At 34.7% G+C, this 27,279-nt stretch overlaps 1 protein-coding gene across 81 annotated transcripts in view; it reads left to right on the top strand.

The window, feature by feature from the left end:
* CLASP2 (cytoplasmic linker associated protein 2) overlaps window positions 1–27,279 on the top strand; it is a 222,010-nt gene that overhangs the window by 73,524 nt on the left and 121,207 nt on the right. For 49 of the 81 annotated variants that reach the window (NM_001375713.1, NM_001400406.1, NM_001375705.1 and 46 more), the window contains 4 exons: window positions 12,360–12,439; window positions 17,651–17,743; window positions 22,451–22,596; window positions 24,993–25,128. In NM_001375713.1, coding sequence (NP_001362642.1) covers window positions 12,360–12,439; window positions 17,651–17,743; window positions 22,451–22,596; window positions 24,993–25,128 — 455 coding nt within the window. Of the gene's footprint in view, window positions 1–12,356; window positions 12,440–17,650; window positions 17,744–22,450; window positions 22,597–24,992; window positions 25,129–27,279 lie in introns of all 81 variants that reach the window. The other 32 variants (NM_001375703.1, XM_047447761.1, NM_001365633.1 and 29 more) reach the window with 1 other exon arrangement.

Raw genomic sequence — 27,279 nt, 5'->3', positions numbered from 1 at the left:
TATGCATGCTCCATGCCCTTGATATGGCCACACATACTTGGAACTTCAGAGGAATATGTTTATTCATGACTGCAGCACGATTGCAGATCTGGAGTCTGTTGCAACATTCAGAAGAATACGATGCCCTTTTGAAATGTATAAAATATTGTATACTGCTATTTCCTCTAAGAATGTATGTGAATTAGTCTCTTCTTGAGGGTATTTATTTTTCAGATGCCATTTTGAAAAAGATTTATGGAAGTTTTTTGGGGTTTTTTTGTTTTTTTTAAGCAGAGAACAGGTTTTTCAGAATTTGGCTACTAATTTTCAAGTGCAATAGCTGTTACAGAAATGTTGAATTATGTAATGTTTTTACACATTCCTCTAGGTAGTAAGTCTTAAATACTCCAGCATTTAAAAAATGGTTGAAGATACTGGGTACTGAATCATTTGTCACAATAGGAGATGGGTGGTGGTCAAGTAAAATTGCCTCAAAAATGGTTCCTGGATTAAATCATAATAGGAAAATAAGAAAAATCAGGTTTCATGCAATTTTATAATTCATAGCATATTCATTGATCATATTAGAACTGTTTCTAGCATATTGTTTATCTTTAAATTTTTTAATGGGTATTCTTTCATGTGTTAATTAGAAAGCCGTGAGTATATTTCCGGTGTTAGTTTCTGCTACATCTTTCTGATAGAATGAATCTGTGAAAATAAGGGTATTTAATTCTAAAAAGACAGTAATCTCTTTCTCTTTTCCTTTCTTTCCTTTTTAAAAATAAATGTATGTCTTAGTTGTGATATTTTGGGAAAACATATCTTTCCTTGTTTACAGTAACTGGTGAGAAAATCATGGTCTTGAGGATTTTTGTTTTTTCTTTTTGTCTATAGTTCTTTTTATTAAAAACCAAAAAGGAAAGAAAAATAAACTGTATATTTTGACCAGGTTCCATAAGGAGTTGTGTTCCCTTGATCTTTCTATACAACCCCCAGTTTTTTCCCATCATGTGAGATTCTAAATATAGAAAAACTATCATAAGTATTTCATTTAAACGATCTTCTGTGTCATATAACTAGCAATAAAGATGGTGTGATATATATACATACACATATGGGTGTATAAATATATATATAGATGCACATATAACTAAATAGCTGAAATTAAAATGTCTTGCTGATTTCTCTGGATGTTTCAAGTAATCTATACTTTAGATTTTTAATTATTTTCTTTTTGTCTTGTAATTTTATGGTTGTATTCTCATCCAAATGTTAGTTATGATATCCCATTAGAAGATAGTTTTTATGTTGCATTCCTATTTACCGCTAGTAAAAAGTATATGACATTTTTTGGTTTCTTCCTTTTATAACAAATAGCTCTCTTCAGTTATTACAAGGGGAATCTTTTTCTTAATTTTGAATTACAGAATTCTAATCTATGATATTATAATTTTATGAAGCTGTCTTTTTAGCTTAAAATGGATGAATATTTGAGATTTGTGGTGATAATATATAACATTTTATGAATTGAACCAGTGGCTTATAATTTTTTTTCGTGGTTTGGTATCTTTTTAGAAGAAAATTGAAATTTACCTATCATTCTGATATTAATCATATTGATATAATCAGATACTCCTTTGTAAAAAGGATAAACTTTCTTAAGCTCCTCCACCCCCATTCTTGTAGTTTCTATTCCTACCAGTTAAATGAAAAGGTTAAGTAGCTTTCATGAGTATAGTAATTAATCACTTAAAGATTTTATCAGCCATCTAAGCAACAGCCTTTCTGCCAAAAATAAGGTAGAAGCCTTCATTCCTTTCTCCTTTTTCTCTTCCTCTTCCTCCTCCTTTTTCTTCTTCTTCTTCGTTTTGGCAATTGCAGGTATATTCTTGTTTCTTTTTTTTATCAGAGCTCATTTAGGTTTATTGCCCATTTTTCTATCTAAGAAAAGAGCTACTGGCCAGAGGATATTGATATTACTTCTAAAATGAATGCCATTCTTGACTGTCAGTCCTTTGAAAATTTAACTTTAGTTTTTTTGGTCTTGGCAAAGACTTGTTGATTTTTAAATTGGTTGTAGAAAGTTTTCTTAGAGTTGTAGAATTTTTGAGTTGGAAAAGACCTTGGGAGTCACATAGTTTCTTTAATAAAATTCCTGATAGATGATTATTCAACTTGATTAAAGTAGTACTATCTGCTCTGAATTAAAATTTAGAACAAAAATCACCTGCCGTGCCACTACACATGGACATAATCAACTGCTAAATTATGATTTGTTTTCTTCCAGTTACTTTTCCAATTATTTTTACATATACAAATATTTTCTTGGTAGAAGAACAAAAGTGGCACTATTCATTGTGTAGTTTTTTTGTAACTTATATTTTACCCTAAGCATTTTCTCGTTGTCTTAAATTATTAATTGAAAATTATTCATGGCTAAATAATGCCTAGGTTGCCATGAGCCTTTTCTCCTTCTATAAACCGTGTCAGCATTCTTTTATATATATCTTTCAGCACATCTGCAATGATTTCTTTGGAATAAATTTCTAAAGTTCGCTGGATCGAAAGATTCAGGGATTTTTAGTGTTCTTTCAGTTTGGCAAAGTATTTTCCAGAAACAAGCCCATTTCAGTTCTGAATAAACAAATTCTTTTTTATGTTGCATTAAAATCTACCTCCTTGTAGCATATGCAGGGAAAATGAATTATTTGTCAACATGCTTTCAGATACTTGAAGATTGTTCTATTTCTCTTTATGACTATTCTGTTTTCTGGACTATACATTATCTTTCCCATGATTTTACATTGAATGGTGGTGATTCAGTCTCAATGTATTATTTGCTACTCCGAGGTATATAATAAATAGATAGATGTGATTAGCTTCTAATTAAAGGGATATAGTAGGTGGAAATGTATAATAGTGGCGTAAGCCAGACACAGCCACTGGGTTTGACAAATCTCTTTTCAAGTAAGATTACCAAAATAAAAAAAAAAAAATACAGTGAGCTTCTTTGGAATCGTGACTTAATCTGCTTTTGTAGTTTGGGAATGTATTTTACTTCTTCTAGAGATATATATCCAGATTAGGGCTGTATGCAATTTTTAGCAAAGTATCCTATCCAGTTAATTAAAGCTCATAAGTCTTGTGTTTAATCTTTAGTGTATGTTAATTTGCTTTGTTCTTTGGCCTTCGTATGCCACCCTTTTCTTCTCATATTGTATTAATAAATGTGTAGCCTTTAAGCCAAGGAGACTTGAAAAAAAGGCTATGGCTAGGTTCATACAGTATATGTATCATTGCTATAAAAATCCATATTATGTAAGTGTCGAAAGTGTTACCTTTGTGCCTTACTAATTAGAATAAGGATAAAGTAAATTCTCAAATAGTCTATTTTCTGAATAACACTTGTAACTTCATAATAGAAATTTAGATAAACACATTTTTCTTTCTTTTGGCTCAATGGTTACTAGAATTGCTGAAAGTACCTGATTATTTAAAATATTTATATCTTTACAGTATTTTAGGTAACAATTTTTAATACAATTCTTTAATGTTCTTATATATATTCTTTCATTTAAATTTCAAAATGAAAGATTCTGAGATTTAAATGAAAGAATGTATATATAAGAACATCTCTGAGCAAACTGATTTTACTGATGAGCAAACTGCAATTTGGAGAAGTAACCTGCCAGGGTCATTTATCTAATAAGAGGGCAAAGCACAAAAATCACTTTGCTATACTGCCATCATACTAATTTCTATTGGTAAATAAGGTTTCTTTTAGATTCTATAGCACTGAGATTGTAATCTACAGAAATGATCACTAATTTTCGGCATCCATAAATCAGTCGTTTTAAAGCTCAACTAGTATGATTCCCAGCAAAATAGAGCATTTGGAATAAGCAGACCTTTAATTTTTACATTGTAAATAAAAATGCTTTTCAGTATTTTCTTGTTGAAATTGCCTTCTTCAAGTTTATTTTCTGGGTTATAATATCCCTATTCCTGTATCAATCATTTTGGCTGCTACTCTTTTTAAAAAAATAAGGGTTGAATTAGATGATGATATAATTATCATTTTTAAAATAACTAGTACCAGATTTTGAGGTTAGTGATTTGTCATTGAAGCTTGTATGTAATCATTGAGACACATCATTGACCAAATCTTCAATTCTTAAAGTTCTCTTTTACTCACTCACTCACTCACTCACTCATTCATTCAAGTGGACAGTGTATTTTCTCTGTATTGTTTCTATCTAATGTCAAAGACTACTTTGAAATGGTTTTAACTTTCAGTTCTTATAATTAGGTAATTGCTGCCATTTTACATTTAGTAGTACTTACTAATCTTTATGATATTTTCTATTTGTTTTACTTCACTTTATGTCTAACCTGAGATTTAAAGAATGTCCAAATATCTATTTTCTACAAATGATGCTAGTTATTCCCATTTTTCCCATCATGCAGACAACAAAATTGTTTTTCTTTTGACCAAATAAAGATCACAAGAATCAGTATATGTAATAAAATAAATCTTAAGAATTTTGTTTTTTAATTCTGGAATCCAAAATTTTGACTAGTAGACCTTATTATTTTGTTTTTCAGCTTTCTGTGAAACCAAGTAACACTTCTGTGTTTTGGTTTTGGTTTCTTCCTCTCTTCTTCCCTTACTGAAGAAGATACTAAAACTCAGAAGATTTTCACCTTAAAGGGGCGTTAAAGATTATCTGACCCAGATTCAGGAAAAGAGATTGAGCCTCAGAGCATTGAATGATGTGCCCAAGATCACATGGTTATTAGTAACCATCTAATGAGATGAGATGAGACGAGAACTCAGTGCTTGACCCACTGTCAGGGGCTTCCTCTTGGATCATCTCCGGGTAATCTCCTAAGTAATACTGCATATCATACATATTTATTATTTTTAATCCCATATAGCAGATCACTTTTATTGAAATCTGGAATTTAGGGATTGACCAGTCGCCAGTCTGTCTGAAATTACTGTGAATCCCAGATCATTGACTATCCATCCCTGATGCTTTCTCTCCTAACGTTGATTATACAGTACGTATGATTTGAGTAAATAACATATAAATTATTTTAACTATAAAATAGTAAGTTGCATTATTTCTTACTATGTATAAGAATATGTGTTTTACTGTAATTATATTATTTGACCCCAATTTTGTTTTACTTCCTGTGCAAAAATTAAAGTGACAAAAACATTTTATTATACAAGGTTTATTTTTTGAGGAATTCAGAATGTTTAAGAAAAGAGAAATTAAGCCAACTAAAGACCTAGCCTTTCTATGGATGTTACTGTTTCTATTTACATTTGTATATAGAGCTTACTATGTGCAAGGCTCCACGTTAATCAACAAAGAGGACCATATTGGGACATGGTGGCTCACACCTGTAATACCAGCACTTGGGGAGATGGAGGTGGGTGGGTTGCTTGAGCCCAGGAGTTCGAAACCAGCCTGTGCACCATGGCAAAACCCTGTCTGTACACAAAATACAAAAATTATCTGGGTGTGATGGCCCATTCCTGTATTCCCAGCTACTAAGGAGGCTGAGGTGGGAGGATCACTTGAACCCAGGAGGTTGAGGCTGTAGTGCACCGTGATCACACCACTGCGCTCCAGCCCATGTGACAGCGAGACCTTGTCTCCAAAAAAAAGGACCATATGGAATGTTTAATTCATGGTTTTAAACTTACAAAAAGATATAGTACCTGCCCATTATTCTGCCAACTAGTGTTAATTATTGTTAGCATTTTGGTCCTCCCATACTTTATTTGCCTATACTTTTTGACTGAAATTTGGGTGTTAGAAAATTGTGAAGTCTCTTATAGGAATACAAATGAAAGTTTACCTCAGAAAAGAGTGAAATGTTATTATTATAGATCTCACATATGAAGAATTTTCCATTAGTTAGAATCATTATAGTTGATCCATATGAAGTAGAAGTTACAATAACTGCATGCTTGGCTTACATTTATCACATACATTCTAATATAGTTGACTTGGTAAGAAGCATTGTTTCTATAAAGGACATGTGAATATAAACAATTTTTTTCATCAACTGATCATTTCTGTCTTTAAAAACCAGTTTATGTGTTTCTTACTAATGAAAAGAATTGAGGCCGGGTGTGGTGGCTCATGCCTGTAATCCCAGCACTTTGGGAGGCCTAGGCGGGCGGCTAACAAGGTCAGGAGACCGAGACCATCCTGGCTAACACGGTGAAACCCTGTCTCTACTGAAAATACAAAAAAAATTATCTGGGCATGGTGGCGAGTGCCTGTAGTCCCAGCTATTCGGGAGGCTGAGGCAGGAGAATGGCATGAACCCGGGAGGTGGAGCTTGCAGTGAGCCGAGATTGCGCCACTGCACTACAGCCTGGGCGACGGAGCGAGACTCCATCTCAAAAAATAAATAAATAAAAATAAAAAAATAAAAAGAATGAAAATCATTCTCATTGTTAAATCAAACAACGGAGAGTTTTAAAAAACTTTAATAACATCTTGCCTCTCTCATCACCCTGAGGTGTAACTAATGTTAAGTTTGATATGTACCCTTCCACGTATTACTCCGTGTTTATTTATGTAGGCACTCATATTAGGTTTTATTTTTCCCATATTAAACATACTGATAAAAACTTCACAAGTTGCTTTTTTTCACAGAACATCTTTCAGCATCAAGAATGACAGCTATTGCATCCTTTTAATTAGTGATACAGTATTCCACATTATTGATGTACCATGATTTAATAAACTTTCCCTATCGATGTCATTCAGGTTGTTTGCATGTTTAAGTCATTACAGAAAATGCAGATCTTTATGTACTTACATGTTTTGAAATTCTGCTGCTTCTATTTTATAAAATAGATTCCTCTAAGTGGAATTGTTTAGTCAAAGGTTTTATGTGTTTTTAATTTTAATAAAGACAACATTTTACCTTCTGCAGCACTGAATATACCAGCCTCATTAGTTATTGCCATTGTGATGGGTAAAAAACGATGATTCGTTAATTTGCATTTTTTTCCTCCACCTATCTGTCTGGCCAACAGCTTGCAAATATTTACTGAAGGCTTTTAGTGTGCTGCTAGTTTTGAAGTCTCTGGGAAATGTAAATGAACACGAAGACCTTGGCCTCCTGGAGTTTATATTCTAGTGAAGTTCAGATTTTTTCTTTTTCTTTTTTCTTTTTTTGTTTGATACGGAGTCTTGCTCTCTTGCTAAGGCTAGAGTGCAGAGGCATGATCTCGGCTCACTGCAACCTGCACCTCCCAGGTTCAAGCGATTCTCCTGCCTCGGCCTTTCAAGTAGCTGGGACTACAGTTGCCTGCCACCACCATGCCCAGCTAATTTTTGTATTTTTAGTAAAGATGGGGTTTCAGCATGTTGCCTGGCTAGTCAGGATTTCCTGACCTCCAGTGATCCGCCTGCCTTGGCCTTCCAAAGTGCTGGGATTACAGACGTGAGCCACCACACCTGAGAATTCTATAATGTTATCTGTAAAACAGTTTCCTCATCAGTTTTTATCTCTGTGACTTTGACTTTTTGGAGTCTAGGCCAGTTGTTTTTTAAGATTGTCTTGTGTTCTGTATTTGTCTCATTTCTTTGTGATGTTATTTATTTCTGTAGCTCTTTTATTTTCTGTAAGTTTATTAACCTATATATTCACTTCCTTTTAGTCAGCTTACCTACGTATTTAAGTTTTCTCAGTTGTCCTAAGAATATTTTTTATAGCTTTTAAAATTCAAACCAGGATATACTTATTCTCTCTTGGATAGTTGGTAATTTACTGTTTATTTCTCAGGTGATTTTGTCTTTAAACAAAATTTTTGGCCAGGCATAGTGGCTCACACCTGTAATCCCAGCACTTTGGGAGGCCAAGGTGGGTGGATCACTTGAGGTCAGGAGTTCAATACCAGCCTGGCCAATATGGTAAAACCCTGTCTCCACTAAAAATACAAAAATTAGCTGGGAGTGGTGGCACGTGCCTATAGTTCCAGCTGCTATGGAGGTTGAGGCAGGAGAATCGCTTGAACCCAGGAGGTGGAGGTTGCAGTGAGCTGAGATCACACCACTGCACTCCAGCCTGGCAAGAGAGCGAAACTCTGTCGCAATAAATAAACAAACAAAAATTTTTTTCCTGACTTTAGCCAGCTGTCTTTTCATATCTTCTATATATATTCAGAATTTTTTATATTCTCATTCATCTTTCTTTTATACCTGTAATTGCTGTTTAGTTAATATTGAATTTATGTTGGAGAATTGTGTTATAGTTTTTTCCTTCTTGGTAGGTGTTTTTTTTAATTTTAGGGAGTTACTTTTATCAGCAGAAAATATTTCTGTTCCTTTGTTTTCTTATTGGAGCACAGTATAGATGTCAGATTATTTTGTTTATGATGATATATTGGATTTTCATAGACCTCAAGTAACAAGTAGATTCCGTGGGGCCAGGAAAAAAAGGTTTGCTTAGTTTTTAAGTTTAAGAGGGCCCTCTTCTGTTGGTATAGTGAAATGCACCTTCTTTACTACGTGATTTGTTGGGGGCTTTCTACTTCTGATTCTGTGATTACCATCTTATTTGAACAGAGCCCTTATTTTTTGTTTCTTCCTTTTCTTTATCCACCAGGATTCAAAAGGATACCTCCCACTTCTAATTGCTATTTACTTCTTGTCCTAGAGAGAACCTTAGTTGGTGTCTACGTTATACAACTAACTACCAGGATTCTTTTCTACACAGTTTCCTCTGATTTTTTTCAGTAAGGGCTCTGTAGTTAACATTGCTTGTCTTGGATGTTTATATTTTCCTCAATTACTTGAAATGAAATTTGAAGTGTTATTTGTCTCTTATTTGTATTAAAAGCAAGGGCTATGGGTAATTTTATTTGCTCTCTGTGGGTTTTGGAATATTTGTTTGTATATTTGATTTGAGTTTGGATGCCTATCATTTTCCTAAGGGAAGTAGAATGTCTACTGTAAGTTTTAATACTGGATAAGGAAAAACTTTTTTAAAAAACTGAATAATCCATTGTCTCTGCATTTTGTTGAATTTTGGGACATTATTATTGAATAGTTTCTACCTTCCCCTTTGATCTGAATCACTTCTTTTTCATATATCAAAATTTCTTACATTTGTGGGTCTGTTTTTGAACTTTCCATTTTATTTATTTGGTTAGTTGGTCTATCCCTGCACTAAAACCTAATTCTCCTAGTTATTTCAGCTTTGTAAGTCTTGTTGTCTGATAGCGTAAGTAGCCCCTCTTTTCTTCTGCAGGAATGTTTGGCCTATTGCTCTTCCAGACAGATTTTAGAATCCGCTTGACAAGTTCCACAAGAAACCTTTTTGGAAGCTTGATTATTATTGCAACACCTAGGGAAGACTGGACACTTCATGATACCATTCCTTCTTGTTCATGAGCCTGCAATATCTCTCCGTTTATTTCATTTGTAATTTTTTTTTTTCTTTTTTGAGACAGAGTCTCGCTCTGTCACCCAGGCTGGAGTGCAGTGGCACGATCTCAGTTCACACTCACTGCAACCTCTGCCTCCCAGGTTCAAGCGATTCTCGTGCCTCAGCCTCCCAAGTAGCTGAGATTACAGGCACACACCACCACTCCTGGCTGGGTTTTTTTTTTTGGTATTTTTAGTAGAGACATGGTTTCTTCATATTGCCCAGGCTGGTCCCAAATTCCTGAGCTCAGGCAGTCTGTCTGGCTCAGCCTCCCAGATTACAGGTGTGAGCCACTGCGCCTGGCTCTCCATTTATTTCAGTGCTTTAATATTACATTAAAAATTATTATTTTCCCAAATTTTTTCACTCTTTCAAATTTCTAACTTCGTTGCTAGTGCTTAGCAATGAAATCGATTTTTGTATATTGATTTTATTTCCAGCTACCTTAGGAAGTTGAATTTTGAATGATTTTACTATATAGACAACTAAAATTATATATATTTATTGTGTACCACATGTTTTGAAATATGTATCCATTGTAGAATGGCTAAATTGAACAGTTAATCTATACATTATCTCACTTCAGTTTTTAGTGGTGAGAATACTTAAAATCTCTCAGCAATTTTCAAGAATACAATGCATTGTTGTTAACTGTAGTCATGTTGTACAATAGATCTCTTGAAATTATTCCTTCTATCTTAACTGAAATTCTATATCCTTCGTTGGTCAAAGGATATTTTTTGACTTTTCTGTCTACACCAGTGTGTGAGAAACTGCATCTGGCAGGCCATATCTGGCTATCTGGTTTTGTAAATAAAGTTTTATTGAAACACAGCCACACCCATTCATTTGCAGAGTTGAGTAATTGCAGCAGAGACCATATAGCCCTTGACGCCTAAAATATTACTGTGTGGCCCTTTATAGATAAAGTTTGCCACTCCCTGATACCATCATACCATTTTAAATAGTAATGATGGTTTTGTTTTATTCATTAAAATGCGCATCTAATTTTTTCCACTTGTCTAAAAATTACTTTTGCTAGGTACACAGTTTAGATAATATTTTGCCAATATTTTCTTCTTTCAAAACTTGCAAGATATTATTAGTATATTCTCCCTGGCTTCCACTATTGCACTTGAGAAATCTGTTGTTCAAATTGTTGTTCCTTTCTAGGTGATCTCTTCTTTCTCTGATTACTGTCTCTGTCTTTGGAGTTGTGCAGTTACACCGCCAAGTTCTAAGTTTGGATTTCTTTTTATTTATCTTGCTCGGGTTATGTTGCACATCCTGAATTTATAAAGATTCTTGTTTCATTAATCTGGAAATTTCACAGCTGTTATCTCTTGTTAAATATCTTTAAGACACCCCAATAGACATATGTTAGTTAGATATTCTCATACTGTCCTTTGTATCTCTTTATGTCTTTCCATTTCCTTTTTCTCTTTGCCACATTTTGGGTAATGTATTCAGGTATATCTTCTAGCTCTCTAAGTTGTTCTTAAATATGTTTAATTATTTAAAAAATTTAAACTCTTGTATTACCCAATTCAGATTGTTTCATCCCCCCACCCCCAAGTTCATCTGTTTATTCCTAATGGCCTCTTGTTGATTGGTCATCTTTGTGAGTCCATCCTTCTTTGTGAGTCCATCCTTGATTTCTTTAAACATATATATTCACATCTGTTCTGTAATCTGTACTGGACAATTCTAATATCGACGGTTCTCAAATCTATTATCTGTTCCCTGTGACTCTTGCCTTCTTGTGTATTTGATCTTTGATTGTGAACTCATTGCTTGAACTTAGCTGGTGGGAGTCCTTTGGGCCTACCAGAAACAACTTTCTCCCAGAGAAGATTTATTCCTGCTTAACACTGGGGAGTCGTCAGTCAGAACTGCGTCAGCCTCTCTTGTCTCAACTCAAGAATTCTAGGGTACTCTGCCCCACTTATTGGTTGGGGACTTCGTTTTTGGATAGGATGAGCTGCAGAGTCACATTGTCAAAGGAGCCTACATTCAGGAATGAGAACTCAGGGGCTCCACAGATCTGGGACTCAGACCTCTAAGGAGAGGGTGGAGGCTAGTTGGTGCTGTGTGATGGCACAGTGAGCTGATTCAGTGAGTGTTAGAAAAACTGCAAACTGGAGTCAGGTGCTGCTCCTGGAATGAGTGGTCTACCAGAGTTGCTAGGATTCTACTGCAAATAATGGAAAGCAATCAGGAAGAAACAGTTCCCTTCCTTTAGCTTCCAGTCTCTCTCCAACACCCCCTATTGCCAGAGTTTAAGAGGAGAGGAAACCATTAAAATCAACAGAAAAATTGGTTTAATGAATACTAGGTTCAGCATCTTAAAGCAGTGTATATATAGAAGAGTAGGTTTAGAACTGAAAGAATAGCTTAGTTATTGGCTCTTCAATAACTACTGCCTACTAAGTTTACTTTTTTATTGTCAATGTGCAATAATGGAAGATTTGTTTGTGTAATTAATTTCAAGACTCTCATTTCTTTCATGCTTTCCTGACCATAGTAGCATACACAGATTTTCTGCATCACACTATCATTTATTGACATTTAGTGTCATTTTAAGTTGCTGTTCAACTTTTAAAATGTTTGTCCTTACTTATGTTTATTTGTGTTTGCTAGTGCATTGAATAGGGAGGCGGGTTTCAGGGCTGTGTTCTTAACAGTTTGAATATTACAACCCGCCTAGCCTAGTACCTTATAATGAATCGGCATTACAAAGTACATTGACCTTTCTGAAAGTTGGAGATTTTTTAAATGCTTTCTTATAAAATGGAATATCCCTTAAAATTATACTTTTGTTGATATCAAAAGAGTTTTATTTTTCATGTTGTCATTAATGTTAAGATGCTTAAAAATGAACCTTAGGAAATTAATTTCCTTTTAATTAGCAGGTGCTTCTAAGGAAGGAGGTGCTGGAGCAGTTGATGAAGATGATTTTATAAAAGCTTTTACAGATGTCCCTTCTATTCAGGTAAGGCTACCAGTGGCACTCCCCGTGAATATTGCCTGTGTGCCTGTTCATATAATTATTTGTCTCTGTCCCTTTTTAAGAATTCTTTTTTCCTTATATAGCTATATAAATGAAATATTTGACTTATTAATACCAAGCCATTATTTGTTGGTACAATTAGATTTTCAAGTGATTTTTCAGTGAGGCTGAAATAAAATTGAATCATATTGTTGAATCACATTACACTGCAGTGTTCAGATTCTTAAATTAATGAGTTTTGAGCTCAGAGAATTAGATTAGTTGATGATAGAAGTTTGGAAGTCATTCATATAGATATAATTGAAGTAAAGTGGACACATGCATAAATAAGAGTATTATTTCCATGACTTAAAAATACACATAAATGTTATATTGTACATAACATTCTACAACCTGACTTTTTACTCAGTGCTTTTTTTTTATATTTTTTCGTGATGTAAAATTTGTGATTCTAGTTCATTCATTTGGATTGATGGATGGTATTCTATTGTATGTACAGACCACAGTGCATGTATAGTTTGCTTCTAATTTTTGGCTATTCCATATCATGCTGCAATGAATTTTTTTTTTTTTTTTTGAGATGAAGTCTAGCTCTGTTGCCCAGACTGGAGTGCAGTGGCACAGTCTTGGCTCCCTGCAACTTCTGCCTTCTGGGTTAAAGTGATTCTCCTGCCTCAGCCTCCTCAGTAGCTGAGATTACAGGCGCCCTGCACCATGCCCAGCTAATATTTTGTATTTTTAGTAGAGACGGGGTTTCACTATGTTGGTCAGGCTGGTCTCGAACTCCTCACCTCAAGTGATCCACCCACCTTGGCCTCCCAAAGTGCTGGGGTTACAGGCGTGAGCCACCACACCAGCCTGCAATGAATATTTTTGTACATATGTCCTTGATTATTTGTAGGTAGGAGTTTCTTTAGGATATAAACATAGGAGTAGAATTTCATAGTTATAATCTTTAAGTTTACTTAGATGTTACCCTGTAGGGTTGTTTTACCAGTTAAAACTCCTGTGAGAAAGGTATGATAGTTCTAATTTCATCATATCCTTGCCAATACTTGTTGTTGTCACTCAAAATATTTTTACCGGTATGATGAGTATGAATACTCTTTAGCATGTCTATTTGAAAATATTCTCACATTGCTTTACTTGCAAACTACCTTCTATTGCCTGTATTACCTTTTTAGCTCTCTGAAAGGAAAATTGTCCTTAAGGTATTTAAGATCTTAAAAAGTTACAAGAAAGCCTTAAAAAGTTTTCTGATTTGACTGTATTTTATCCCTTTATTGAGATATATGTTTTTTCTTATTTTAAGATACTTTTTAAATAATAGGGAAAACATATCCCTTCCTCCTTTTGTGTTTTACAGGCTTTCATATAAGGGAAAGATTAGTGTTGTAGGAACAATCAGTAAAACTTAGTTGAACTTGAATATTTTTATTGTTTGATATGTTCTTGTCAGACTGGTAACATCATGGTATGGGCAGCCAAGGGCTATTCAACTATACGGAGGGGAAAAAGCTATTTTATAATTACTCATTGCTTTCTTCCAGCTGGCCCTCTCTGCCACCCTCACCACCCTGTAAAGGTGTTCCACACCTTCCATTGTTCCCTTGGAAACATCTTTTTCATAAGCAGCAACTCCCCTAAGTCTTTAACCCCATTTTTAAAGAGTCCGTTCAATGTTCTTGCCTTGATTAGAATCTGATTTTTTTTTTACGCTCTTTAAAGATAAAGCTGTTTATTATTCTCGGCTCTCATACTCATAGTAATTGATAATAAGTTTATTGTGCTTGCACTCCTCATTATTACTTTGTGACCATTATTCCTATACCCATTTATATGAGGTTCATGCTCCCTGACCAGCCTTCTTATTATTGGCATGTACTGATCTTGACAACATTCCAGTGCTGCCTAGGTTTGAATCCCAGCTCTGCCACACTAGCTGTGTAACCTTAGGTACATTACTTAACCCTCTGTACTTCAGTTTCCTCATCTTAAAATAGGAATTATTCGTACATATGCCGAGGGTTATTGTGAGGCTATGACAGTACAGATGAAGTGTAAGAAGTATATGTTAGCTATTATTATTTTCCTAAATTTTCACACATTCTTGATGAATTCAGTTTCTAGACCTCCTCCTCACTTTCACTGTAGCTACCCAGTTCATAGTCACACATTGGATTTTGATATCATCTGTGTGTTACCGTTACGTTTCCAAAGTCATTAATTGAAGTATCTCATTACTGACTAGGATCTCCTTGCTTTTTTAAGTACTCTAACAACTACTTCTGCACGATTTCAAGGATCGTCAGTCCATTGTTTTTTCTACTCACTCTGAATTAATCATCTGTCACTTTATACTTTCCTTCTCATCTATGCTTGATTTCCTTCTTATCTAAGCTTTGATAACCATGGTTTCTTGCAGTAGGACTGTACATATTATACTAAAATCCCTTGGTTCTCTCGTTTTTTTTTTTTCATAGCAAAGTATTAAGCAATGATTTTTTTTTAATACTCATTTTGCAAAACTACAACTGTGGATATTCCCAACTTTTTATTTTCTCTGTGTCCTGAAACCGTGCTGCTAGAGAAAGTCACATGTTAGGGCTCATGATTTTTACTGGAATTCACATAAAATGAACCCTCAACAATCTGATATGCTTACTATGTTTCTGTGATCAGTTATTTCTCTGCTTAATATAGCTATCAGACATGTTTCTTTCCTTTCTATCCATCAGCCAGCCTGTCTCTGTCCTCCTCTCTTCTCTCAGTATATGACCTAGCCCCTTACTTTAGTAAATAAGTAGTCACCATCAAATGGAAACATGATCTTTCTGTTACATTCTTCTCTGCTGTGCATTCCTTCTGTCCTGTTGCTCCAGAAACATGGTCCTTCTTCAAGGGCCAGCACCTCCACCAGTGCTTCAAAGCCTAGTATTTTCTGCTTCCTTAACACATTTACACAATCAGTAATCTCATGTAGGTTCAAGCTCTTTCTGTTTATCTCTTAACGTGGCTGGGTTCTTCAGTTTAAAAAACAAAAGTCTCACTGGACTCCATATCTTCCAGATACTATTTTTTATTTTGGCCCTCACAGTCAACTTTTCCAAAAGAGTTGTCTGTACTTGGTATTTCTGTAACTTAACTTGTTACTCACTTCATCCCACTTCTTTCTAGCTTATTCTTACATTGAAACAGGTCTTGAGTAAATCACTGATCATCGTTGAGGCACCAAAATCAACCAGTTTGGGATTTTTTTTTTTCTTGTTCTTCTACCAGTATTTAGCACTGTTGACTATAGTCACTGTTTTGTTGTTTAATTTTAGGTGCTTGTGATATGATGTTCTTCCATTTTATTCCCCCTACATCTTTGTCCACTTCATCTCTGTCTCTTTATAGGCACATCCTTCTCTACTTGCCTGTTGAATATTGGAATTTCTTAAGGGTTAGTTCTGGGCCCTGTCTTCTCATTCTCTATTTTCTTACTGAGTCACCTCCTTCAAACCCCTGGCTTCAGTTCCCACGTTTATCTAGATAATGCCGAGATTTTAACCTCCAAGCCAGACCTCTCCTGAGTTCCGAAATGATTTATCCACTGTGATTGTTTACCTGACACCCCCTTTCAGATGTCTCAAAGACACCTCAAACTTATCCTGTTTGAAATTGGAATAATGGTCTTCCAGTATTCTGTGTGTGTAAACCATTACTTAATCAATTACAAAAGTTAGAAACCTAGGAATCACTCTACTGCAACAGACACCTAACTTAGTGGGTTTTCAAGCTTCTTTTGCTTGTATGCCTGCTAAAAGAATGTTTGAAGAATTATGTACCCCCTCACTGAAGTACGTTTTTGAGTTGACTCTCTTCTTCCTTATTGGGGGAAGGGGAACCTTGCATTGTGTTCCAGGGGAATGCATCATAAGATTAGGGGTGGAAGAAGGTTCTGGAAAACGGCAGAGGGGTATTGTGAAGAGAAGGTGAGAGGCAGGAAAGAGCTAGCTCAGAAGTTTCTTTAACCACATAACAGTGTTACCTGGTCACCATCTACCTCTTCAGCCTTGTCTCATGCCTTGTTCTCCTTTGCATTTACACGCATTCTTTCTTTCTCTCTTGCTCTTGCTCTTACTCTCTGTTAAGCAAAAGGTGAATTTAATAGCTGTTGAAAGTGAAAGATGTAAGGCGGTTTGATGAAGGTACTCAGTTGGTATCACCAGGAGTCTATTTCTCATTTCTAATTCCTCTGCATTGTCTCCTTCCATGGTCAACAATATGGTTATAGCTGTTCCATCCTCACACCTGGGTCATTGGCTCTTCTCCTAGTCCCTTTATACTTTTTATTCCTTACTCTGGCTTTCTTTCATTTACTTTGTCACAGAGCCTTTGCACATGCTATTAACTCTCCAGGGAAAGCAAATCTGTCCACTTTGCCTAATGATATCCTACACATTCTTTAGCTCTCAGCTCAAGCTTGACTTTCCTCATAGGTCAACCTCCTCTTATGTATAAACTTTCATTTTCTTTTGTGGGACTTGCTACTTGTAGTTTCATATTTGATGTCATTTGATTGATTTTTAAAATCTCCCTGAGTGTATTGTACTCTCCATAAGGCAAAGACCACGTCTATCTATTTTGGCTAACCATAGTTTCTCCATTGCCTAGCATAGTACCTCTGTGTTATGTGAATATTTGTTAAATGAATGAAAGAATAATGGTGAACAGCAGTTTGACAAAGGGTTGGCTCCAGAGGAAACAAAATGTAGCTATCCTGACTACAGTTTATCATGACTGAGGAGAGAAAATTAAAACTAACTTATAACATGTCCTTTTTGTAATATTGGGTAATATGTATATGAATGCAATAAGATAGGTTATACACTTGAAGTCATTTTGAGAAATTAGACTTTTATTTATTCTTAGATATTTTACATCTTGTTTTTAAAATTACAAAGCATTTTGAGAGCATATTTGAAGTTATTCATGAGGGAAGAAATAGCAAAAATGGTAACAAGTAAGGAAGAAAAATAAAGCATTTTGTGTTATTATTGTCTATAATGTATTTCTATTCTCCATTAGAAATGGTGCTAGAATGGGAAATAAACTTAATAGGTGAAAGATTATTTTAAACATCAGGGCATAATTTTGATATTGTTCATGGCAAGAAACATTGTTATAATTCTGAATCTTTTTTTTAAGATTTATTCTAGTCGAGAACTCGAAGAAACATTAAATAAAATCAGGGAAATTTTGTCAGATGATAAACATGACTGGGATCAGCGTGCCAATGCAGTAAGTTTTTGTCTTTAATTTTCTTATCTTCTTTCTTTATTGATGTTCCTTTTAAAAAACATGGAAATTCAGTAGTAGTACTATATGGTATTCACTTATAAAATAGAGAGTCTGATAGGTAACATTTCTTTCTGGAGAATATATTGATATAATACTCATTTTCTGATTTAGGATCGATTTTTATTTTGGTTTGGCTGATCAGGTGGTGCCTATCCTACACATTTGGTAGCCTCACCACGTGTGCTGTTTTTGACTGGTTAGTAAAATGTGAGATTCAGAGGGCTTTAGCCTTTCTGTGGACTTATATAGTTGCTTATTAGCACTATCCTCAAGTCATATAAGGTTTACCAATAAAGCAGTTCACTTTACCTGCATGTTCAGTGTTTTCATAGCATCAATGTAAATTCACAACAGGATATGCATTTATCTGGGTTTTTTTCTTCTCATGTGAATGTGATGAATATTTCTCCTGTGATTTCATTTATAAAGGTCAGATACCCTTGAGTTAAGAATATTTGATTTGGTCTAAATCCCTTAAGGAAAATATTTGATAAAATTTAAAATAATATTTGTGTTGACAATAAGCAATATATTTTTTAAATTTGTGAACTTATTGTTTACATAACCAAATTACATTTACCAAATGAGTACCTCAGAGTTTTCAAGAAGCCAGAGAAAAGGGCTGCATTTGAAGACTGTTCTGCTTTGAGAGGTCCCAATCTGGCTGATCATGAAAATCCCTATTTTGATGAATTAAATCAAATGCAGGGCCTTTTGACAAATATGGCTTTTATGACACTATGAACAAAGGACCATTTTTGTCTTTGTTAGGAAGTCTACATATCTTAAAACATTGAAATACTGTTTTTAACAGAGAGTATTCCTCCAAATTTGTTAAATATGGCTCCTATTCTTCAATTCTGAGATGAGTCTGATACAGAAAGATTTTTTGTCACAGGTGATCTGTAGAGAAACATGACAGATTAAGTGTTATTAGTATAAAATGTGAACTTTTTACTTAAGGGTTTTTTTGGTTTTACTTAAAAACTACCCATTTGGAAACAACAGATGGTCTTTTGATTTTTTTTTTATTAGAAAAATGACACAGGCTTATTGTAATAAGTGAAACAATGCAGAAAACTACAGAGAAAAAGTTAATAGTTTCCTGCCTATTAAAGAAACAAACTTTTGTTGAGGCTAAGATGGGAGGATTGCTTGAGTCCAGGAGTCTGAAGTTACAGTGAGCTATGATTGTACCACTGTGCTCCAGCCTGGGCAACAGAGTGAAACGCTATCTCTAAAAAAAATAAAAAAACAAACTTCATTTTAGAGTATATCCTTTTCTGTGTTATATGTATTTAAACATATATGACAAGATATGCACAATTTTCCCCTACTCTTTTTGTAAACCAAAAAAAAAAAAAGAGAGAGATCATACTTGATACATTACTTAGAAACTTGCTTTTTTTTTTTTGGCTTAACAAATGGTGCTCATTCAGTACACCTGGTATAGATGTCAGGCACATAATAAATAGTTGCTCAGATATTTATTGAGTGCAGGTTAATATGTACATATATTCCTTAGTGTAATATATATACATGTAATGTGTGTGTGTGTGTGTGTTATAGGAATCTGATCTTTGTTTGTTTTTATACTTTAAGTTCTAGGGTACATGTGCACAACATGCAGGTTTGTTACATATGTATACATGTGCCTGTTGGTGTGCTGCACCCATTACTTGTCATTTACATTAGTTATATCTCCTAATGCTATCCCTCCCCCCTCCCCCACCCCATGACATGTAATTTTTATAATCATTTACCATTTGATGGATTTTCAGTTATTTTTTATTGTTTTGCTATTTTAACAGTGTTTCAATAAACATCCTTACACACTTTTGTAACAATGGTGCTTTTATTTTTGTAGGTTAGATTTTAAAATGTGGGTTGTTGGGTAAAGAGTTGCTGCAATTTTATTTTAGTAGATGCTGCCAAAATATTTTGAACAAAGGTATTAGTCATGTATAATCTTACAGTGTTTGAGAGCATCTGTTTTCTTTTCAATTTTAAAAAATTTTTGCCATTGTGATGGGGAGAAATGTGTCTTTGTGAATTTATCACTAGTAACTTTTAACATATTTAAATGTATTTATTTTACCCAATTTAATCACAGGTTACAATAGTCTCCCCTTATCTATGGTTTCAGTTTCCATGGCTTCAGTTACTCATGGTCAACCATGGCCAGGAAATAAGAACGTACTTTGATAGAGAGAGACCCACATTCACATAACGTTTATTACAATATATTGTTATAATTTTTGTATATTACTACTGTCAATCTCTTACTGTGCCTAATTTATAAATTAAACTTTATCATAGGTAAATATGTATAGAAAAAAAAGCATATATAGGGTTCAGTACTATCTGAGGTTTCAGGCATCCACTGGGGGTCTTGGTACATATCTCTTGCAGGTAAGGGGAAACTACTATATTTGTCTTTTTCTTATTTTATTGTCGTTCTTTGTGTATCATCTTATACGTTGCAGGTAATTTTATCCTACCATATTGTGATTTTTATTTTGTTTTTAGTTATAATTTAGACACTTGAAAATTCTCCTCTGTTTGTGATAGTTTTCCCTTCCTTATATGCCCAAGATTATATAATATTCTTTTGATTTTTTTTCTAATGTCCATAGCAGGGTTTTTTTACATTTACATCTTTATGCATCTGATTTAACTTTAAAGACATATTTTAAAATTTAGAAAACCTCGAGTTAAATGTGAAATTATATACAATAATGGTGTGATAAGTAGACTTTTAGCTTCTAAGTGTGTATGAACACAGATGTACACGTGTGTGTATCTCTTTTTATCAATGTAGTTTTATTATGTATGTCTGGTTTTCATGTGGATAACATTTGGCAATCAAATATTGAAAAAGTAATGATTTTTCTTGTCTAGTTGCTCTGGCTAGGCCTTCTAGTACTCTGTTGAATAAAAGTGTTGAAAGCAGGCATCCTTGTCTTATTCCAGACCTTAGAGGAAAGGCTTTCTGTTTTTCCCTGTTCAGTAGGATATTGGCTGTGGGTTTGTATTGTATTGTATAAACCACATGCAGGGAGAACAGTATGGAAGTTTCTTAAAAAATAATAAAAATAAAAATAAAACCACAATATGATCCAGCAATCCCACTGCTGGGTATATATCCAAAAGAAAAGAAATCAATATATTGGAAAGATATCTGCACTTTCTTGTTTATTGCAGCACTATTCACAAAAATCCAGGAGATGGAATATACCTAAATGTCCATCAGTGAATAAATGGATAAAGAAAATGTGGTACATATACACATTGGAATATTATTCCACCATAAAAAGGATGAAATCCTGTGGCTTGCAACAACATGGATGGAACTGGAGGACATTATGTTTAGTGAAATAAGCCAGTCACAGGAAGAAAAAGATTGCATGTTCTCACTAATATGTGGGACCTAAAAAAAAAAAAATTGAACTTGAGATAGAGAGTAGAATAATGGTTACCATGGACTGAGAAAGGTAGTTGGGGGTTGGGTAGGGAGAATAAAGAGGAGATGGTTGAAGGGTACAAAAATACAGTTAGAGCAAGAATAAGATCCAGTGTTAGGCAGCACAGTAGGGTGACTGTAGTTAACAATAATTTATTGTATATTTCAAAATAACTAAAAGAGTGGAATTGGAATGTTCCTAACGGAAAGAACTGATTGATGTTTGAGGTGATGGATACCCCAGTTACCCTGATTTGATTGTTACACATTGTGTGCTTTTATCAAAATATCACATGTACTTCATAAAAATGTACAACTATTATGTATTCATAATAATTAAAAATGTAAGAAATTAAAAATTCAACAGCAGGCCAGATGTAGTGGCTCACTCCTGCTGGGAGGCCAAGGTGGGTGGATCCGTTGAAGCCAGGAGTTTGAGATCAGCCTGGCCAACACAGTGAAACCCCATCTCTACTAAAAATACAAAAATTATCCAGGCACGGTGGCATGTATCTGTAATCCCAGCTACTGGGAAGGCTGAGGCACGAAAACCACTCAAACCTGGGAGGTGCAAGTTGCAGTGGAGCTGCAGTGGCACCACTGCATTCCAGCCTGGGCAACAGAGCAAGACACTGTCTCAAAAAAAAAAAAAAATGTTCTACAGCAAAAATAAGTAATGCTAGAAGTTTCCAAATTTGGCACTTTTAAAAATAGGCTCCCTTAGTAGATAGTGATGGTAATGGTCACACAACATTGTGAATGCACTAAATGCCACTGAATTGTATACTTTAAAATGGTTAAAATAGTAAATTTTGTTCATTTGTATTTTACCACAATTAAAAGAAAAACTCCCTATTATCACACTGGGGATTAAGCTAAAAGACAAATGAATAAATAAATAAAATAGATTCCCTTAAAACTTTAGAATTTATATACTTATAGTTTACATTTCTCCGTCGTGCTTATAACTAAGTCTGTAATGTTATTTTTCAGACAGCTTTTTGTTGGCATATTTATTTACAAGATACATTTAATGCTACTAAGATGTCTGAATATAGTAATGTAATGAAACATTATATATGTTTCATTTATTAGAAAGTTTTTGTTTGAATAATGAAGTTTAGGTAGCTTCTTTTTTTTGCACTTCCACCTTTTTTGTCAATAATGAAAATTCTTTATTTCAGCTGAAGAAAATTCGATCACTGCTTGTTGCTGGAGCTGCACAGTATGATTGCTTTTTTCAACATTTACGATTGTTGGATGGAGCACTTAAACTTTCAGCTAAGGATCTTAGATCCCAGGTGGTTAGAGAAGCTTGTATTACTGTAGCGTAAGTATATTCCTTTTATGATAAGTGTTTTTTATGAATGAATTTAGTATTCACTGATTCATTGCTCATTAAGTCAAGCAGTAGCAAGATAGCTAAAAAAGTATATGATCCAAAAATCATTTTTATTATACATAAGGATTCAATCTGTATGATTTTTAAAAAATTCCTTAACAGCTCTTTATACCAACATTTTAAGGTTGGTATACAGATATTTAAAATATCTAAAGCCTACTGGTGGATTTTTTATCATTAATTCTTCAAGTATAAGATGAAAATGAATGGGTCTGGAAACTGGCTGTATTCACTTTTCTCACTACTAATTTGGGTATTAAACACTCAATTTCTGATATTTTAGCAATTATTCTGGCATTACAACATGCATCATTAACTTAGCAAAACCTAAACTTTAAGTTTGTAGTCTTCCACAATACAAGGATGATAGAACTTCTATTTATTACTATTTCTGACCTAAGCAGTGTTGTTGCATATGCATTCCTTTGAAGATAGGGAACAAAAAGTGCCTACTAGCAATATTTCTAATCAGGATTGTATTAGATATTCTAGTCAGAAACGAAGAAAAAAAAGGCAATATAAGGATTGCAAGAAAAGGAACAAAACTGCCATTATTAACAGATGATATAACTATCCATGCAGAAAACTGCAAGAGAATCTACAGATAAATTATTATAATAAAGGGACTTTGGCAAAGTTGCAAGATACAAGTCCCAGTATACCAAAATGACCCAATATCTCCAACTAGCAAAGAAAACCCAAATTAATACAAAAACCCATAAAACGTAACCATGAAAAATACACTTAAAACATGACTAGCTCTCTTGCAGAAAATTGGACAATATATGTAAAACATCTGTTTCCACGTAATAGACAGCAGACAGGGTAGGAGTGGATTTCTTAAAAGATGCAAGTGATGTTGAACAGTATGAATTTTGTCCTGGAGGCACTATGGGGAAGGAAGGGGGAACCTAAGCAGAGCAAGGCAGTCTCACTGAGATGAGGAAACAGAGACTAGAGTTTCAGAGGCTGAAGTGGTCACAATTGGCAGTGCAGAATACTGGAGAGAAGAGGGGAGATTCACACACACACACACACACACACACACACACACACACACACACAAAGAGCTACAGAGATCATAATATGGGAATCCATGAGTCTAGATGTATACTAACCTGCCCATGTAAAAGGTACAACTCTCTGAGGAAGGAAGGGAACGAATGCCTGGGAGCTGTAAGATAAACAATTCCCAGAGCTCATATAGGGGTAGGAGAGGTTTAAGATCTGACCAACCAGAATGGAAAAATCTTGGTGAACACCAAAGGCAGTCAGTAGAAACCCCAGAAAGGCCATTGCATAGGAATAGTACTAAACCAGCTCTAAAGTAAGGCAACTCTTGACTCTGCCTCTCCCAACAAGCTTACAAAGATCAAGCTGATTCTCAAGTACATTACCTGCCTACCAAAGTAAAACTCATGCTCTTTAAAGGAAGACAACATCCAAACATATCCACACCTCCCTGCTTTTCATTTGAGGTTCCTTTTTGCCTGTGAGTTCAGACATTGGAAAACTAATATTATAACAGTGCATAGGTCGGAATCTGAGCTCTTTGAATCAAGAACCTGAATTATTGGAGCTAACTCTATCTCAACCATGTTTTCAGTAAGATACAAATATATAAAAATTAACCAGTATTGCAAGCATTGTCAGCACTTTGAGTAGTTACAATATCCCTCCTAGTTTAACTAAAATCATACAATGAAAGTCTGGTTTAGTTGTTTAAGTACACAATTGGAAAGAGAAGTCAGATGTCCTAAAGATCACCCAATAAGATATGGTAGAGTTGTATTTTTGACTGCGGATTTGGAAATCCTACTCCAAAAAAGTGAGGGAGTATTTATGACTAAAAAAGGCGTGATACTATTAATAGAAATAAAGAATATCTTGAGGAGCATTGATTTGAGTAAGATTTTGAACTTGTTTGTAAAAATATGCTGAATTTAAGATTGATAATGGATCATCAAAATGGAAATAACTCATGGATCAAGACCAAAGGTCAGAACCATCAGAGCTGATTATTTCACCTGATGTGTCCTCAGTTAATAATTAAATTCTGAAATCAAATGGCTTCTCCAAGTGCTAATTGCAAAGAGATGAGGAAAATGCCAGATTTCAACTTTGGACTAGCCAGTTAAAGATGGGGAAAAGAAGGAAATATGTAGTATCTAGGTTTCCCTTTCTTTCTTCTGTTTTTCTGCCATTACAACTGATTAAAATACAAATTCCTAAGTTAATTCAGTAAAAGAGTATTTTAAAATTATATGGTTCTATCTATATTTAATGTTAAACTATTAAAAAATACTTTTTGTCTTCCTTTGTAGCCACCTTTCAACAGTTTTGGGAAACAAGTTTGATCATGGCGCTGAAGCCATTGTACCTACACTTTTTAATCTCGTCCCCAATAGTGCAAAAGTCATGGCAACTTCTGGATGTGCAGCAATCAGATTTATCATTCGGGTAGGTTTGCTCTCTCGTTTTCTACTGCTGCCTCCTCCCCCCACTTTTGTTTCTTCTTCCTCCCCCTTTTTCTCTCCTTTCCCCACCCCACCCCTCTCTCTCAATGTAAGTCATGGAGTTTCTTTTTGAACCCCAAAAGCAAATCATTTTTGAATTATTTTTCTGATAGTGAAAGCCACAGATGGTCATTATAGAACTAGAGGATTGCAAAGTAAACATGTTTGTATATGGAATAAAATACATACATACATGTACATATGAGTACATATATGTATCTACAGTTACGTGTGTGTATAATCACAAATGTTACAGAAAATAATAAAAGACAGGCAAATTTTTAATGTAGTTATGTGCCACCTCACAAAGTTTCCGTCAATGGTGGGCTGCATATACAACAGTGGTCCCATAAGATTATAATATTATATTTTTACTGTACCTTTACTACTTTACTACTTTTGGATATGTTCCGATACACAATACTTACTATTGTGTTACTCTATCCTAGAGTGTTCAGTACGGTAATATTTAGTACAGTATTCAGTACAGTAATTCAGCTACAGGTTCGTAGCCTAGGAGCAATAGGCCTTAACATATAGCCTAGGTGTGGAGTAGGCTATACCATGTAGGTTTATGCAAGTACACTCTATGATGTTCATACTATGATGAAATCACCTAACGGATTTCTCAGAACGTATCCCCATCATTAAGTGAGGTATGACTGTATTTCTCTTCACTCATATCTTGAGGAAGTCTGAAAGAACAGAGTTGAAAAAACAAATCTCTCCCTTTGAATTCTATTCCTTTGTTAGTAATCACTTTAGCAATTTAATGTGTACTTTTCCAAACTTCTATTCTGTGCCTATACAAATGTATTTGCTACACATATAGAACATGTAAGTATACATAGTATATTCTTTAACTTCCTTTTTTTTATTTTTTATTTATTTGTTTATTTTGAGATAGAGTCTCACTCTGTCACCCAGGCAGGAGTGCAGTGGTACGATCTCAGCTCACTGCAACCTCTGCCGCCCGGGTTCCAGCTATTTTCCCGCCTCAGCCTCCAAGTAGCGGGTACTACAGGCACCCACCACCATGCCTGGCTAATTTTTTTGTATTTTTAGTAGAGACAGGGTTTCACCATGTTGGCCCAGGCTGGTCTCAAACCCCTGGCTTCAAATGATGTGCCTGCCTCAGCCTCCCAAAGTGTTGGGATTACAGGCGTGAGCCATCATGCCCAGCCTAGCTTCTTTTTAAACTTCATGTACTTGGGCAACATCCCTTATCCATATGTGTAATTCTTTTTAATGTCTAAATTAGTCTTCTCTTAAGGATATAGCATCAAATTATCCTCACCAGGCCGGGCGCGGCAGCTCACACCTGTAATCCCAGCACTTTGGGAGGCCAAGGCAGGCGGATCAACTGAGGTCAGTAGTTCGAGACCAGCCCGACCAACATGAAGAAACCCAGTCTCTACTAAAAATACAAAATTAGCCAGGCATGGTGGCGCATGCCTGTAATCCCAGCCGCTCGGGAAGCTGAGGCAGGAGAATCACTTGAATCCGGGAGGCAGAGGTTGTTGTGAGCCGAGATTGCACCGTTGCACTCCAGCCTGGGCAACAAGAGTGAAACTCCATCTCAAAAAAAAAAAAAATATATATATATATATATAATAATAATAATTATCCGCACCATTCTTATTCCTGCAGTCTTCTTCCTGGAGTCCTTTTTCTCCATTCCTTTGCCAATATTGTCTTTTATCAGTATCTTTGGCATTTTATAATTTAATAACCATTATTTCATATTCTACTTTGCATTTCCTGCATTATTAGGGATGTTAGCTATTTTTTTCCTTCTATAATTCTATGGATTGTCAGTTTATACTCTGCATTTTTTCTCACTTCTAAGATCTTTTTATATATCAAGGATATTAATTCTGTGTTGCATATGTTGTGGTATTTTCTACAGTCTGACATTGCTTCAAATATTGTATAAGCTCTTTTGTTATATATCAGAATTTTAAATTTTTATGTATTGAGACTTGTTCATTTTGTGGGTTTTGTTATAGTTAAAACAACTTTCCCAATTTCACAGTTACACAAAAATATTCAATCATTTAGAACTTCTGTCATTTTTTTCTTAGGTTTAGATCTA

Source organism: Homo sapiens, chromosome 3, assembly GCF_000001405.40.
Source record: "Homo sapiens chromosome 3, GRCh38.p14 Primary Assembly".
NCBI lineage: Eukaryota > Metazoa > Chordata > Mammalia > Primates > Hominidae > Homo > Homo sapiens.
This window is presented reverse-complemented; position numbering and strand designations above follow the sequence as displayed.